The 18410-nt window shown below is 38.0% G+C and overlaps 1 protein-coding gene across 5 annotated transcripts in view; it reads left to right on the plus strand.

Annotated features, from left to right (window-relative positions):
- The window catches only part of AFF2 (ALF transcription elongation factor 2), a 500047-nt gene that overhangs the window by 87119 nt on the left and 394518 nt on the right, over nt 1-18410 (plus strand). The gene's annotated exons all lie outside the window — the stretch shown is intronic.

Consider the following 18410-nt stretch of genomic DNA (forward strand, 5'->3'; position numbering starts at 1 on the left):
ACAGAAAATCCAGAGTTATATGCCCTCCAACTGAGAAAGCATATTTATTGACTTGAAGACATATTAGTTTTTCAGGCATGCTTAGAGATCTACTCTCTGTTTTCCTTAGGTATTATTCATTCTATGTATCTTCAAGTCCCGTAATTTCCCAGACACTCTGCATACTGTTTGCCCGTAGTAGATGTCACATGTAGGTTTGCTGATAGCATTGATTTTGCATGGGTTTCAGCTCCCGCCAAAAGGCAGTCCTTTGAGCTCCTCTTTAGGGAGCATAGGTGTGCTTTTAACTGTGGTGGCTTCATTAGTCTTGGTCCCTTCAATGCCGTTAGTGGATTTTTAACAGAAGGAAACTAGCCTGCTCCCTTACTCTCTGCAGCACGGGTTCTTATGCAGTACATGTATTCACATGGGTCTTATACATACCACAGCTTTTCAAGGGAATGAAATGTCAACGTTAATCCAGAATTGGTGATATTTGTTCATATATGTAAAATGTAGACATTTCTAATACAATTATGTGGGTCTGTCAAAGTTACTCCTTGAAGTGACGTGTGTGAGTAGTGCCATCGCTTTAAGGGTGGCACTCACAAAACTGGCAGAGGCCATAGATGTGCAGCAGACAGTGAAGGTTTCACAGCTGTCACCTCATCAGGCCTCTACTTTGTTAGTCCCTCCAACAAACCAGAGGGAAACTGTTTATGGAGGGCAGAGACGGGACTGATTCATGAATCCTGGATTCCAATGAAGATCATATTGAGTTTGCGGAGTCGTTCAGTGATTCAACTTGCAGAAACTATCATGTAGATTTTATTTCTCCAAAGCAATCATTCCTGTTCACATTTTTAAAAAAATCAAAATCTGAGTCTTACCTGATTGGTACACTTTCCTTCTACTGTGAAAGTTGTGCTTTAAGTAAAGGCAGCAATATCAAAACAGTATGCAATTTCTACTAGCTTACCAGTGTAGTCATGTTTGTATGGTCACCCCCATGCCACTGTCTTCTTCTTTTTGATCATCTGCTCTGGATTGTTTGAGAGAGCTTGAACCAGGCTAAACTAAAGTGACTCACAGCACTCCCTGGTGTTTCTATTGTGAGTCGGCGTCAGAACTTGTAGAACCGCAAAAACATACTCAGATTTCAGTTCTCCATGTTCACTTTAGAGATCACATGAGACACTATATGTTACTGAGTAAAAGAAACTGAATCCATGCCATGGATCCATATGGCATGTGGACAGTTAAGAGCTGAACTAGGTTGGCATTTGCAGCAGGGGAGTTGGAAAAGTGGCCTGATCATACCTAGCCAGCAGGTCTCTCGGTGCAGTGACAAGACAATCAAATTGGCAGGCTTTGAGAACTTTCCTCTTTCAGCATAAGGAGGGAGGGGGGCAGAGAGGCAGTGAGAGGCATTTAACTGTGCTGATGTGACTTTTTAAATTTGTTGCCACTGATGCCACGGACGTTAATTCTTGCAGGGTTAATTATGAGAAATTAAAAAGCTGCTCTGAACAGACTGTACCTTTCACACTCTGATAAAGCAGGCTCTGACATGAGAACATCTCTTCATTAATATCCATCCCCAAAGGGCTACTACATGCAGCATTTGGAATATGAATCTTGAACTTCCAGGGACAATGCAGGACACCATGGAGATAGGGTTCAGAGAAGGATGACTATGCTTCTTTTACATTTTCAGGAAAACACTGCAGTGCCTGCCTGGAAATCACCTGGCTGGTGACATTTGGAAAGGATAATTTATTTATTTGCTTGTTGGTATGTTATGAGTTTTGAAATATGATTTTAACTTCATTTCATGTAGACCTCACTGCATCAGGGCTCTCAGTGTCTCTGTGTAATTCATGCAAACACCAACAGGTAGGCTTGCAGAAGCCTTGTAATTGTTTACCATTTAGTATGTCACCCAAGTGGCTCTAGGGTATGCATTTGTTTCTCAGGAAAATTTCACCAGCTCCTTACACTAGGCACTTTTCCACCAGCCTAATATATTATACTAAATAGCAATCTTGTTACACCAAATACATTGCAGAAAGTAAACTGTGAAAAAATACCAGTATAAATAGTGCAACTCTAAGGCAGATGCTGGGGAAAAAATAAAAGCCTTCCTATACAATATGCTTAATTTGTATTATTGTAACCGGAAAGGCCATGTTTTGAAGGAAACTCACCTAGAAATGGAAGTAGGTAAAACAGTCAAATGCCGTAGCAGTGTTACCTTTCAGCAAAGATAAAGCCCTATTGTTCAATGGATTGGGAACTGAGAGCGGTCACAGAGCAGCTCTTCATGTTAGAGCTCTGTTCCAGAACTCAAGTGTAGTTCCCCCTTAGTAAGGGCATCTGCTAATCATTACCACCAAACACGCAGTTGGAAAGACATTAAAATATACTACCTATTTTATACTGCAGAGCTGGCAGTGTGAACACAGAGCAATTCTTGGATTTGCTGGCTCTCTGAGGAGCTGACAGCCATTGGCTGTTAGAAAAAACAAAATATGAAAATCCATCAATATGTAATTATCTCTTCTCTTTTGTCTGAAGATCATATTGCTCAAAGGGATATAATAAGGCACAACACTGTTATTCTGCCTCTGCATTCTGTTTCATGCATTTTCCTTCCTAGTGAGCGGGCACCTACCTAGACCTTGCTTCTGATCGTCCACTAAGAGCTATTTGCATAGCCATAGTCTCTACATGCTTTTAGGCCTCCCTCCCTTTCTTCCTTTTTAATTTCTCAAGCCCCTGAGACATCAGTGGTTCTCTATGAGAAGCATCCTTGCCTCTTTATATTCTTAGCTAGGAAATGGGTGACAAACCCCAATGTTGCCTCATTCAGTACCTCAGGGCATCATACCACATGGAAGTGTTCTTGGTAGCACCCTAGTGGCTTTAAGAAATACCCACATACCCTTCTAGAAGAACCCAAGAATCATGAGGATAAGATAGAAAGGAGCCCAGGGGTTGCTAATTTCCAAGACAAGGAGTTGCCTCATTTGTTGTATTTGTTTTCCTTAGGAAATGTTTCCTACTCCCAAGACCCAGTAAAATGAATATTTTTCATTATGATTTCATAGAGGGGTAAACATAGATGGGGAAAGAATCATATGTGCAAAATAACTGGATCGTAACTACTCTTGTGGTTTTTCCATTCAGAAAATACTTGTACACAGCAACTCATTGGAGGAGGGAGGTTGTGGTTTATTATATAATCCTGGTCTGCAATTTTCCTTAGATGCACAAGATGGTTGTTTCTGTTTCTCTTTGAATTACCCGTGTTGCCCTCTGGGTATTATATAAACGATGAACTTGTATGTTCATTGAAACATTAACAATCTTCATCCAAAATGTTTGGCATAATTTTTCTTCCTCTTGAACTCATTGCTTTTGCTGTGCTGCTGTCATTGGTAGTATCATCCAAATATAATATTGGACCTAAATGCCATCAGCAGACATGAGCCACAGGGAATAGGGCCATAGGTCATCATAATCATGTGAAATTTCTTGGGCACTGTTTACATGGAAGGAACACTTGACTATATGTGGAAGCTTGTCTACAAGTCAGTCTTCTGGCTTAACTCTAGGGTAAAGAGTTCCAAAGCTCTGGAGGCAGGAGACCTAGGTTCCAGGCCCAGCCCTGCTACTGATTTGTTCTGGGCCTTTAAGTTAATTAACCAACAAGAGCCTCAGTTTCTTTCTCTCCTTCAGGAATGGAGCTAATAATCATTTCTGCTCTGCTTTTGTTACTAAGCATCAAATGAAATGCTGTACAAGTGCTTTAGATACCAAAAAGTGCCACGCATATGCTGGTTATTCTTGTAGTTTGTATATTATTATCTAAGTCCATTATTTAATGGATTCCAGCCACAATCAACTCTTTCAAGGCATGGACTGGATTTATTCCATCATTAGCGAAGAAATTTCCTTTTCTGAGAGGGCCAAGATTACGTTTTGTGTAATCTTGCTTTCCATAGAAGTGACCACTTTCAAGTACTAATTTTACATGCACTTGAGCACTTGGCAAATAAAGTGAAACACTTTTTTAAAAAACATCTTTTCTTTTGGACAATTGTTGCAAAACCCTGATATATCATTTCTCATCAGGGTAAGGATATACACTGTTTTCAACTGCATTTCTTGTTTTCATCGAAAATGCAGCCCATTCACAACTTGTTCCTGTCTAAGGAAAAGGCTTGCACTGCTACATTTCCTCATTAGCTCTGCCTAAGACAAACTCCTGTGTCATGGCTGATGGAGCCTTTATGAGCTTTTTAGCCAAATGACTGATGTTTGCCTCGTTATGTCAGATCTGAGGGCACTCCTGGCATCTCTCTTTATTCCCTGTCTAACACCATCAATCGAGCAGCTGCCATGCACCCATGATCAGGCTGATTATGAAAATGTGCTCAGGAGCCTGATGACTCCAGTTGTTTTTTATCTGAAGAGGCCAGTAGATGCTGGCTAGAGCTTATAGTTATATGAACAGCAGATTTTGTCCCAGGATTAGCAGGTGAGAATCACTGGAGCTGAGTCCATAGCAGCTAGGTGAGGGCCATGAAAACTAACATTGGTTTATTATAGAAGAAGCTCCTAGAAGGACTGGTTTTGGCCATTTTAGTCATTTTCCCATTTATCCCTTAGAAGATTATTTTGGCCTTTTCATTTTGGTTTCATGTCCTAGACAAGTTTATTATTCTCATGACCATGGGAAGAAAGCTTTTTAAACCCAAGGCCTGCTATAAAAAAAAAAAAAAAAGTATATTTTTCATAAGTGCACTTTTTAATTAAGATAAATATTTTTTATGGGGCACATCAAAATCCAGCTGTACCTTCATGAAGTTTCCCTGAATATATGATGACAGCTTTTATTTGCTGCTGAAATTAAAAGTGATCTGTGACCTTCTCTGATCCTGAGACTGTTACTAGCCTGGTAGAGTGGTCTGCAAATGATGGGGCTTGGGCTTCATTAGGGCACTGGCCTACTCCTGTGAGCTAGCTTGATGGGGTTAGGCCCTGAGGCACGTGGCCTTTGGATGGAGCTCAGCTAAGTGCCTCATCAGCAGGGAGTCAGCTCTATAACCTCCCAGCTGAGCCCAGGCAGGATGAGGTTGAAACAGCCTATTGTTTTTTCTCCTCTAGGCTTTTTTCCTTACCCAAAAGTAGCCCTGTGGCTTTTCTCTCTTTTCTTTCTTACCTAGTCTCCCTTTGTATCACCTTTTACTTGGAAAACCAGAAACCTGTATTATAATTTAGTTCAGAACCTCAGGTTGTTCTGAAGTGTTTGAAATAGATCGCTCTGCTGACCCTGGAGGGGAGCCCAGGCTGACCACACCAAAGGACATCCTCATGTGTTCAGGAAAACTTGGTGAGACTGTAGCTGGATCTTGATATGCTAATTTCTAGTCATTTCTGAGAAGCTGTGCATTCTCTAAACCAGCAAGTTCTTGGGGTGCTCAAACAAGTGAATGGGGGTAACAATTTTTATATTTGCTTAACACTTTTTATAATTAGTGTATCATGGTTGCGTTTCTAGCTACTGACAAGGAGTCTAGAACATGGGTGGGAGATAAAATACAATTCAAGGCCACCTGGGAGTGAAAGAGGAAGTTTGGCAAAGAACGTAAGTTTTGTAACCCTTGCCTAGTGTTAGAATCACCCAGAGAGGGTTGAGAACAAACCCATGTCCAGAATCCACACCTGAACAGTTAAGTCAGAATCACTTGGATGGACCCTGTATAGGAATGTTTTCAAAGCTTCCCATGTGATTTGAGTGTGCATGCAGCCAGAGATGAGACCACTGGTGTGGTAGAAGAAGCATGAACTTCTAAGTCAAAGATGGGAGTTTGAGCCTTGTCTTATCTCTGTGCCTTATTGGTACTGTGGACTTGGGAAAAATCATCTAACGTTTCTGTACCTCAGGATCTTCATCTGTAAAATGAGAATCAGAGTAATAGCTGCTATTTATTGAGTGCTTTCTTTGTACCAGCTATTGTGCTGAGCACATTACATGCATTCTTGTTTAATCTTCACAAAACCTCAAATAATTTGAGAGTACTGTAGTTATCTCCATTTTACAGATTTAGAAACTGAAGCTCAGAGAGTGTGAATAATTTGTCCAGGTTGTATGAACAATCAGCATGGAACCAGAACCCTTACCAGCTCATGTTTACTCCAGAGTCCAAGCTTTTAACCATGATTCTAGAAAGAATGACCACTACCAAAACAATTTCTTCACAGGGATATGAACTAAGTGAGTTAATATATGTTTAAATACTCTGTAAACTGTGCATGGATATATGTGTGGAAGTTGCATATTAGTAGTGGTAGGAGTAAAAAGAATAGGCTGGGAATTTCGGTTTATGAAACATCAGAGTCAGTTGAAAAGCTGTAGACATGCAAGCAGAAGTGAGTGGGATGCGGCTAAGCATTTGTGGGCTCTTGTGGCTCGGTTAGAATTACAAGACAGCACTTTAGAACTGCTTAGCCTGAGCTAGTCAGGACTTACTCGGGTCTGGAATCAATTCAGAAATACATCTGGAACACCCTCCTGAGGACCTCTTTGCCTTTTGTTTATGTCTACTAAATTTCAAGTTCTTTCTCAGTTTACAGAAGTAACATCAGGCACATAATTCATGTTTTAAAAGAAGAGAGAAAGAGACGTGGTTGTCATATGTGAATTAGCTGCTTTGACTTTTTTCAATAGTGGATTGATCACATGCCTCTAATTTAACTCCCTTTTAAAACCACACCAAAACTACAATAAGGGATTTTTTTTTTTTAAAGAAACTCAAAAGGACTGGAGATATGTGAGAGGAAATAACCAAATTTCAGAAGCTGGAAAGCATTTGAGCAAATATTAGCTGATTTAGCAGATCTGGAAATCCAAATCCTAGCAGTGGGAAAGCTTAGAATCAATACAGTTCACACTGCAGAACCTTCAAAAAGCCAAGGAATTGGTGATAGCAGATATCCCTTGAAGCAGGAGTGAAGAGGGTATAAAATATAGAGGATTGATTGAAAGCTGTGTAAGAAGTTAGATCCCCAATTCCTCTCCCTCACTCTTACTGCTCTTCCTTTCCCCAGCCTTGCAGAAAATGGAACTTTATTTTTTGGAGAGGATAAAACAGAGGTTTGTTGTCCTGGAGTACTTTTCTGGAAACATGGATTTTTAGTGAACAAATGCATACACCACCAGCTACACACAGGGACTGCCAGTTTGCTTCCACTAGAATGCTGGCAGCAAGGATTCACTGTGACATTCCAGAAAAAAAGAAGATAAAGAGAAAATTCCACAAGCCTCCAGAAAGAAGGAAGAAGGGAGGAAGGTAGGAGAGAGGGAGAGAATAGGTATCATGCAATGGGACAGAATAGCTTTGGATTTCACAGCAGCACTTGAAACTCAAAGACAATCCTGAAGGAAAATAACTTCCACCTTAATATTTCTACTTAGCCAAATTATCGATAAAGTGGGAAGATAGGATAAAGACATTTTCAGACACTCAAGATCTCAGAGAAAAATTGACCTCTAACCAAGTTTTTCTCAGTAACCTACAGAGGATGTATTTGTTCACCAAAGAGAAGGAATAAATAAAAGGAGAGGAAAGCATGTCTATAGGAAACAGGAGCCATAACACAGGAGAGAGGCCAAAGGAGTCTACCAGACAGTGGTGAAGAGAATCCCGATGTAGAGGGCAACCAGTTGAGGTTGAAGTAGGTCAGAAAGCTCTGAATGAAATTTATGAAGAAAATGAAATAGATAGCTAATGTGAGTAAATGTATTGACAGGATTTATGCAGCTAGTAGAGAGTTTAAGGTTGGATTAGTGATATGTGCATAGAAAAATGACCAAACATTAATAAAAAGCCAGTCATGATGATTGACTCCAAAAAGTTGCTCAGGAAAGGAAAATCCTAGTTTAGTACATGGCTTAGGTCTGAATAACATATACCATCTAAAAATTGCAAAAATAAAAATTGATCTAACTAAACTTTTGACGTAAATATGTTGGGAAGATGGAGGGATGACAAGTATTCCAGTATGTAGTAGGGAAGAGGAAAGCAAGAAGGTCAACTAAATGCTCATTTTCCACAGAAGGAAGTCAATAGATAATACCTAAAAATAAAAAAATAGCAATCCAGTGTGTTTTTTAGAGAAATGAAGGCAAATGCTCCAAGAATAAAATAAAGTTATAAGCAATTGCTTGTTGAGAAGAAGGAATAATCTAGGGGTGCAGTGGCAGGGCTGGGAACTGCTTTGGGTCTTTAAGAAGCTTTGATAGGTAGTTGACTCTTGAAATCATCATATGTATACATCAATTTGATAAAAATCCCTAACATCTACTGTGCTCTTTGGCAAATACAACAATGAAAACTGCCTTGAGATAGAAAATGAAATGCACAAAGTAGTAATAGAAACTCCTTTCCTTGGTGTAGGAGATAAGATATATATACTCCTACTAAGCAGGTGATAGTTACAAAAGAAAGAAAGAAGTCCAACAGTAAAGAAGCAAAGCCTCCATCAAACTTTTATTTTGAAGGAAAAACAATCAAACACCAATGAAATGGGCTGTAGTACATCTGAAGGAACAAGAGCGCCGCCCGCCTCCAACCACTTCATGGCCACTTGTGCCCTGGTGTGACTGCCTAGTCAAGGGGCCAGGGAAGCTGCACAAAGACCCTTTCATCTAGCCAGGTCTCTCTCCTTAATTGCTTGCAAATCCAGTAGAGCTAACCCAAATACAATAGGTACTTGAGATGTAGCCTCTGAAAAGAGCATAAAGTGGGACGACTATGTTCCCATCTCCTCTGACAGTAGGAATCAGGATTTCCCTGGAATTTCCCATTAGCCTCACTTTTTAGTATTTCAGCTCTCCCAATTAGGCCAAATAGTGATATGCTGAATGCTGGGGCAGATCCTAAATGTCAGTTAGCGAGGTTTAATGAAAGCAAAGAGCTCTGTGCACAGGTAAGTCATATTAACAGATATTTGTAGTCATTTGCATAATTGATGTGACTAAATAGTTTAATCAGGAGAATATTGGAAATATTTGTTACACTTTTAGCCTCCTTTTGTATTGCTCTAGGATAAAAACTGTGGAGATAACTGAAAGTATTGACTAACTCCTCAGGGGATGTGATATATCTTTTGACAATGAAAACTCCCAATAAATTCTCAGCACTACTAAGGAACAACTCAATGGACCATGTTAACACTTCCTGTCTGTCTGTCACCAGACAACCACCAGGGGTTACTATAGCTAGGCTCTCTACAGAAAGGGTTATGACATCTGCTGGGGGGCAGATGAAGGGGTCTGGCTTACCCTATTTTCTATGGTGAAGCTACAGTTAGTTAATTTGAAATTAATAATGCCTTAGTGGAGTTTACCAAAAACCTCTGCTTGTGGGGCCTTGCAACAAAGAGGAGAATGTTTAAGCCGAAAAATGCTTAATGTCTTTTAAAATCTCAAGTCGGGCTGCTTTGTGTGTTACCCTATGAAAGGCCCTATGAGGTGGTGGAGGAGCTGAGGAGGGCAAAGAGGGGAGTGTGGTAATCTCAAAAAGCCCAGTGAGCTGGACAGCGATTTCCTTTCTCTGTGCCAGGTAAAATCAGCACAGGAGCCCTTAATCGCTTGTTGTTCTAGGGTATTATTAAGTGAATACATTTTTCATGGCCCACCTGCTAGTGTAACTAATTAACAGCCATTCTCATTAATTACATTGATCAGGATCATAAAATAATTTCAAATTGCTGAGCATGATCCGCAGGACTAAAATGGTTTCACTTTAATCCCTTAATGATTTTTTCATGATTAATCAAACAAAATATATGTAGTTATTTGATCCACTTTTTTCATCTTAGAACTGCAACTCAGGGCAATTATAGTCGACATAAAGTTGATACAAACAGAACTACGTTTCATGCAGTAGCTAATTAAGCAATAAGACACAATGGGGTGAGGGTATATGATTATCATGAGATAATCACCCCCCTGAGGAGTCACAGAGCAAAAGGTACAGTTGAGTACCTCTGCTCCCACAGGGCTGTGATTACCTTCGCATAACCACATATCCCGCCGGCGCCTTATTGCTAATCGCAAACTCTTCGTTTTACACGGAAATAAACTGAGGAAAAATGACTTTCATCATAGGAAATGGCTCGCTGCGGTATAAAGGTTTCATCTATTAACAGTGACAACATTAATGCGTACTTTGGAAGGTGAAATAATCAATTATGCTGTTCTCACATCATCAATAGGAGTTGGGGGATTTTAAATTGATGTTTATACTTTGAAGAGTACGTACATCTGGTAGTTTGGGTGTATGAAATTAAGTATACAAATGCTCATACATCTAATAATTAATGTTTGATTTAATTGGAAAGGTCTTGCTTTTAAGGTACTAGACATTTTTGAATGAAATTATAAAATAATAGTAAGGCAACTCATTTCCAAAGTCTAAAAAAGAGAAACAAATACATTTGCTAAATTTTGGCCATAATTCCTCAAATCACTGCCAGCATTAAAACTTTCACGCCATCTTCCAGCCAGCAACAAGATGTGACCAATGGGAACACGAGGCCATTTAGGTGAAGGAGATAGTTCTGGCTCTGAGACATGGTTCGTCCCCTTCCCCCTCCCCATAAATGAATAAAAAAAATAAAACCCAAACAAACAAAAACGAAGTAAAATGACCAATATCCTTCCTGTGCCATGGCCAGGTGGCAGGGTGAGAAGGCCCTGCTTCCTAGAGTGCCACCATCCCAAGGCACTAGCGTTCTCCTATCCTTGCCTGCACACTGCATGCCATGGGAAACCAGAATTCCTTCCAACCACCAGACTTAGTTACTTCTTCATCTAGGAACAATAACGGTGTTAGAGCAGGGGTCACACAAAAGAAAAGCAAAATAAACAGATAAAAACCTACTACCCTTTCCAGCAACTTCCAAACAATACAGAGTAGAGATAGAATCTAATGGTTGACAAACATACCTTTGGCTACCCTGGCTGTGTAGTGTTTGCGTTTAATGTCTTGAACGATTTCGTTCTTGTTAACTATAAAGAGATCCCTTGTAAACTTTAATGATATTAATCAACTAAACTTCCCATTTATCATGAAAAATAACTATGTATCTGATTTATGCCTAAAACAATCAGATTTATTTCATTTCATGTTTCCCTTCTGTCGGGCTAAATAATTATGGTTTTCTCAAAAGTGGTTTCTTTAAAACTGTCTTTCTCTATGTTAACTCTAGAACGGTAACAGAGTAGGTAAATAGTTGTTGGCTCTTGAAGAGGTTCATCCAAATTTGCCCAAGTTTGTCTCAAAATTAGAATGCCTGGTTTAGCATCTGTGGACTTCCTGAAGGAAATGCAATCATGTGCTTATTGTGACCCTGTGAAATGAATATAAGTTGTGTCATATGCAGGATGCATTACTGACTTTATGACATGCATGCATTGAAAATTGAGTACGTCCTATATATAAAAGCATCCTTCAATTTCTTATATTATGTTTTTAAAGTAAGTCAGTTAACAATATGATGAATTGAAAAATATATATGTAAAACAACTGGACATCAGATTCAGGAATTTTCCTTAACATGTTGGTAAGTGAAGAGCTGTCTTTGAAAACAAGAGTCTCACTTTAACCTTGCTAAACATTCAATTCAAGCCATATGGCTTGATCAGTCCAAACATTTGACTTGATGTGGCTCTGCTTGGCATGGGGTTCTCTACCATAGAGAAGCAGTTTTTGTGGTCAGCGTTATGAATGACCAAGACTTTGCTGAAAAACAAAACAGGCAGAAGATATAGGCAATCAGTATGATCTTGAAACATTGGCTTCATATTGAGTCTGCTGGTCTCTCAGCTTATCTCGGGTTCACAGCAGCACTCAAGCTTACATTATGTATTACGAAGAGGAAATGTCAGTTATTAACTTAAGTAGCATAGGTACGAATTGTAAAAGGGCTTTTAAAGTGCCAAATGCTGGAAAAAGGAAATTAAATGTAGTTATTTATGATAGAGCTTTAGAAATACTTAGATTTGTTCTTGAAAGACCTGGCATTTAGATTTTAAATCATGTTCAGTCCTCGAACTTGAACAATTCATGCAAAAATAAGAATAAAGACATCTTCCCCTATAATCATCTAAGTGCATGTATGTGTATTTGGCCATGATTTCTGCTCCCCCATCCCCCAAAGCAATCAACCATCACAACTTTCTCCTTCAATAAAACATAACACTTTCTTCTGTCTGGTGAGTTGAAATGATGACAGGTGAAAAAATTGACAAGTGAAGGACATTTGTAAACCTCTTTCAATTGAGATCAATTTTTGGTTTTTGTGTATGTGTGACTCTTCCACATTTGGTGGATATCGTCTAGAGAGATCTTTGCACTTGTGAACATTGCAGGTGTTTTGATCTTTCCAAGCTAAGGAGACTTGGTAGTCTTGTGTGGAATTTAGCAACACAATAGGTCTTTAGATAGATAGTCCACATGGTTTCAATGAAGTGCCATTTAGGAATTGCTCATTGGCCCAAACAAGTAGGAGGACAGCTTGGCGAGACAGATGGAAAAGGCTGCTTTAAGAAGGGATCAGAAAAGGCATTGCTCCTCTGCCGGCCTAAATCCACTAATCTGATGTTATTATTAGCGATAAGGAGCAGTAGCCAGAAGAAAATCTCATTCTCTACAAATGTCATTTAAATAGGACTCTGATATTTTCTGGTCAAGTCGACGGGCGTTATTCAAATACTGAGCACTTTATTTGTAAATGCAAGAAGGAAAGAAAAGCTTCAGTTCAGCAGTACTTAGGACGTCAGCTTACTAGTATTGATTAATCGTTCAGTAGTGGCAGCTGCTTCTTTATTAAATGTGCAGCTCACCATACAAAAGATATCAGGTGTAGGAAGTGTTTGTTGATAATTCACATTTTCTCACAATGTGGCAGAACCTACTCTTACTTGTTCAACTACTGTTCTTAGGAGTTCACCTCCTTCCATCTCCAGATGCCTGCCGCCCCCAAACTCCCTGTGCCTGCTCCCAAGTCAGTTAGTAGGCTGAGCCTCCTCCAAGCAGGCAGTGACTGCAACATTTAAAAAACATATTTGGAAATATTTTAAAAGTGTCCCAAGCTAAGTGTAGAGCAAATGCAAAGGCTCTGAGGTATGAATGAGCTTGGCAAGTTGAAGAAAGAGAAAGGAGGCCAGTCTTGGCAAGAAGAGAGTAATTAAGTTGGAGAGTGGCATGAAATGATATAAAAGAAGTAGGGAGGACAGATACTGTAGGGCCTGGAAGGCCATGGAAAGGAGTTACATTTCATTCTGAGAGCGTTTCTTTTACATTTCTTTTTCTTTCCTTGTCATTGTTTTGCTCTTTGGGAAGATCTTGCTACTTAAGTACTAATTTCAATTATAGATGTAGCACATATATTGCTAATGAGTCATATTCTCAGAATTGTGAAACTACTTCTTACTTGGGGAATGAGGCAGCTTAAGAAGCTGAAAGAATTCTTTGAGACCACTAGAGGTACTGTTTAGCAAGTTATCTGCTTCACAGAAATTGTACCCCAGCGAGGGCAAATATTTTCTGAAGTTTTCTAAAATATCTCACAGTCGGAGGTGAGTTTACACTTTAGGAGAGCCTGGCATCTATGTAAATCGTCAATGAATTTATCCCAAATTCACCTTTAAGAAACAAAAGTCCAGTAAAAAAGCTTTCTAACTCTTTCCCATCCTTTAAGATCAGTTTTAAGTTCATCTTCCTTTAGTATTCTCCAGCTCTTTAAATTTTCTTGGCATTTAACTTCAGTGGCCCTCACTTGGCATTCAGTATAAATTAAGTGTGCATGTATTACAGGCATATCTTTTTTTTCTCCCTCCAACGAGAAAGTAGGAATTTCTTAAGGTTATATCTTTAGTACCTGAAATCCATATATTGTGAATTTTTGAGAACAATTATTATAAAAGATTTTAAGTTCCATAAATCACTAAAATGTCTTATAAATTTCAATATTTTAATATCCCAGCGACAAACTCTATATGCCTCTTTCTGCAAACAGCATAAAAATGTTTTGTTAAATCCTATGTCTCCATTCAATAATGGTTTTATTGTGCTCATCAGGAAACATGGCCAATATATTGATTATTCATTCCTCATTAAATAAATTTCTTTTGAGTCATTACTGTGTGCTGCATATTCTGGATACTTGAGGATACAATAAATAACCAGACCAAACAACAAGTGATACTGTTATGAATTAAAAAGCCTTGGCTACTAGAGTAAGGATGCATGGGGTAAAGTGATGGAGTGAGGGCATTACCTTTAACAGGGTGCTCAGAAGAAGGCTTTTCAGAGGAGGTGCCATTTAAAAAGAGAGCTTGGAGAAAATTGTCCCATGCTAAGTGTATAGCAAATGCAAAGGCTCTGAGGTATGAATGAGCTTGGCAAGTTGGAGAAAGAGAAAGGAGGCCAGTATTGGCAAGAAAAGAGTAATTAAGTTGGAGAGTGGCATGAAATGAAATAAAAGAAGAAGGCGGGGACAGATATTGTACAGCCTGGCAGGCCATGGGAAAGAGTTAGATTTCATTCTGAGAGCAGTGGGAAGTTGTTGGAGAATTTAAGTCAGACAGTGGCAAGATTCGATTTATGTTTTATTAATAAAAATGTAGTCCTCTTCCATATGGAGAATGGATTGGGGGGTGTGGGATTGGAGGGGGTGATAGCGGAGGATGAGAGAAGAGTTGGATGTTTATTATGGCAGTTTTCTAGGTGAGAGTTGATTCTGACTTGGGCCAGGGTCATAGAAATATAGATGGAGAGAAAGGGAATACATTTTGGAGGTAGGTAGATGAAATTTGCTCTTGGGGTTGAGTGAACAAAACGAACGAAGAAATGACTTGAGAGTGATTGTTGGGGCCATATAACGAGAAGAGGCTGAAGAACAGGCAATGTAGAGTAACAGTTAAGAGCTCCAATTTTGCCATGGAGCAGCCTTGGTTTTGATCCTTGGACATATTCTCTAAGCTTCATTTTCCTAATCTGTAAAAGGTGAATAATAGTAGCCACTTCAAAAGTTTTTTTTTTTTTTAAATGGAATCTGTAAGGACTAATGCAGGTAAAATACTTAGCACAGTGCATCATAAATAATAAATGCTTAGTAGATAATTACAAAGGAGTCTTAGGAGAGAAACAACTTTGGAAATTCATGTAAGTTATTTTTTTTAATTACATAACTGATGGGACTTTCCCCTCTTCCAATCTGAAGTTTCTGATTTGACACATTAAAAAGTCAAGAATGTGTCTAGTGAGTCAAGGGTAATGTCAGCAGCACAGCTGGCTGTCTTGAAAGATTTACCTCCACAAACCATAAGAAATAACAATATAGGAAAAGTAAATTCTACACTAAACCAAATTCTTTTAGGATAATTTGAAGACAGACAGTGCCAAATGTGAAATCACTATGTGTAAAGAGGAAAAAAAAATGTCACCAAATCTCAGTGTGTGATTTCATGATTCTTCCCTGACTCTGCTCTGATAAAAGACTTTGCAGTCAGTAAGGGGCGACTGAGAAAAACTTCAAAAAGGGTTGGTATGTGCAGAATTCCCTAAGTTCTTCTATGTTGAAAACTTTTATTTTCTCCTATATTGGTATCTGAATAACAGACTGGCTAGATATAAAATCTAGCCACTTTCTTTCATTAGGTGGTTTTTTTTTTTTCCCCCATCATTGCCTTGGTTTTGAAAACTCTGATGCCAGTCTAATTCTTTTGTGTTCTGTAGCTTATTTTTATTTTAGGGGGAGACTTTGAGATGTTTATCATCATCTTTGAAATTACTAGTTTTGCCACCAAATGCATTGAGCTGATCATTCAGGATACTTTCTCCAGATGCAGTGAGCCGTTTCAGTGGGTTGATTCAGATCTTTTTCTATTTCAGGAACATTTTCTTTTATTATAATTTTAATTATTAGCTCAGTTCCAGCATTTTTGTTTTTTTTTTCCAGGGACCCCAATAATATAAATGTAAAATAATTGTTTTTTGCCTTTCTTCCATTTACAATACATTATTTCTGCTTCTTTTTGATTTTCTTATTTATGTAATTATCTTGGTTATTTTTCTATATTTCTTCAATGTCTCTTATTAAATTTCATTTGAATCTATTCTCCCTCGTGCACTTTGTAATTTATTCTTTATTTTTTAGATAACTTTGTCTATTTCATTTATTTATTGAGTTTCATTACTTACTTTTCATTTATTCCTGGGTTTTTTGGTACATCTCTAATTTTAGGTTTAGATTTCTGAGTCAAGGCAGATTTTCATATCTTCAAATGCTTTTTTAAGAATATTCTTTTTGAGTATTTTAAATCTTTTTATGTGTTGGATTATAGTTTTCTTGTACTTTGCAATTGTTTCTTGGAAGATGGGTTTACTCAACTGAAATGTATAAAATTTCACTTCCTGTGCCATGACACATTCACAAAAATTGATTATATATTAGGTTTCATTGAAAACATGAATCATTTTTGTAAAGTACAAATAGTATAATACAAATAACACTCTCCAATTGCAATGCAATAAATTGAGAAACTGCTAACAAAATAAAAACTAGATGGTCACTTTCATCTAGAAATTTTAGTTTATTTTTTATTTTTATTTTTTAAGAGACAGGGTCTTGCTCTCTCACCCAGGCTAAAGTGCAGTGGCACGCTCATAGCTCACTGCAGCCTTGAATTCCTGGGCTTCAGCAGTCCTCCTACCTTGGCCTCTCAAAGTGCTGGAAGTAAAGGCATGTGCCACTGCAAAAACTCCTGAATGAGAGAGGACATGCAAATTGAAATTACAGATTTAAAAAAAAGGAAAATAAAACACTACATATAAAAATCTATGAGATGCATTTAAAGCAAAGATTAGAGAGAGATTCATTTCATTGAACACTTTTACCAATAAAAATGAGAGTGGAAATCAATGGGAAAATGCCCAGATCAAAATATTAGAAAAAGAATAACAAAGTACACCAAAAGAAAGCAAAAAGAAGGAATTTATAAAGACAAAATAGAAAATAATGAGGTAGAGAGCAGAACAATAGAGCAAATCTAATCAATAAATCAAAGTTCTGTGATTTTTAAATTATGCAAATAAACTATTAGCTAATTTAATGAAGAAAAAGAAGTAGAAAGAAAAACTATACAAAATAAGATATGACAAGAGGGAACTATCCTTTAGAGAAAAATAAGTTTTCAAAAATCACAAGTATTTACTTTTCAGATATCCACATGAAGTTGAAAACCTAGATAAAATCAATAATTTCCTAGAGAAATACACATTACCAAGACTGAGCTTACTTGATTTTAAAAGCTTAAACAGATCAATATCCATGAAAGGCATAGAGAAAGTTATGAATGAACTACTTCACAAAAAACACCAGGCCCTGATGATTTCACAGTTCCAAAACTACTCTGTGAATATTACGGTTGAGCAAACTGTGAATATATGTTATTTGAATAACATATTAATATATGTGAATATACGATAATGAGCTTAGGTTTCTCACTGTTGGAAAAAGGAGTTACAAATAAGCAAAGGGGGAAGTCCAGATTGAAACTTGTGTTGGATTGTAATTGGAGGTATCAGTATGAACTCATGTTTGATAGGTGGTAGATAAATAGATATAAACATGTATACATTCCCATTATTTCCTAGCTTGGTTTGCTGAGAGAGCCTAGAAGTAATGACATCCTCATAGCAATAAGCACACCTTGCACCCAGATCTTAATTTCTAAATACCATACTCTGATAAGTGAAATCAGGGCCTCTTGGTGAAGTAATTGAGTCCGGCACTGGGGCCAGAAAACTGTAAACTAAACCTATAATATCTTGTGATGCTAGAAATAAGGAAGTGTTGACAAACGATCAAGGTGTCAAAAGGACAAAGAACACAGGAGCCAGCACAAAAGAGCATCCAATGGTCAAATCATGGACAATTTAGATAACTAAATAAGCAGTGATAGTAACGGGTTATGATCCATAGAATGAAATAAATATCCATGAGTTCATACTGCTATGAATTAATGAGTGAGTGAATGAATGAAATACCAAGTCACCATTAGTGAAAGACCACTCTGTAATTATCGCAGGCAAGTTCAAACAATGAATATCAAAATCTATGGATGAATATTTGAGGAGAAACAGGGTGTTAGCATAGTCTGAAAATATCTCCCCCAAATTTAGACCAGTTAAAAAGGGAAAAAGAGTAACTTTAACAACTAAGATTATTGACATCTTGAACTCTCTGATGTGATGCACTGAGAAAAGTATGATAACTACAATATTACTTCTGTGATATTTGCCCAAAGGCATAACTCCACATATAATCATGATAAAACCTAGGATACACAC

The sequence above is a fragment of the Homo sapiens genome, chromosome X, assembly GCF_000001405.40.
Source record: "Homo sapiens chromosome X, GRCh38.p14 Primary Assembly".
Lineage (NCBI taxonomy): Eukaryota > Metazoa > Chordata > Mammalia > Primates > Hominidae > Homo > Homo sapiens.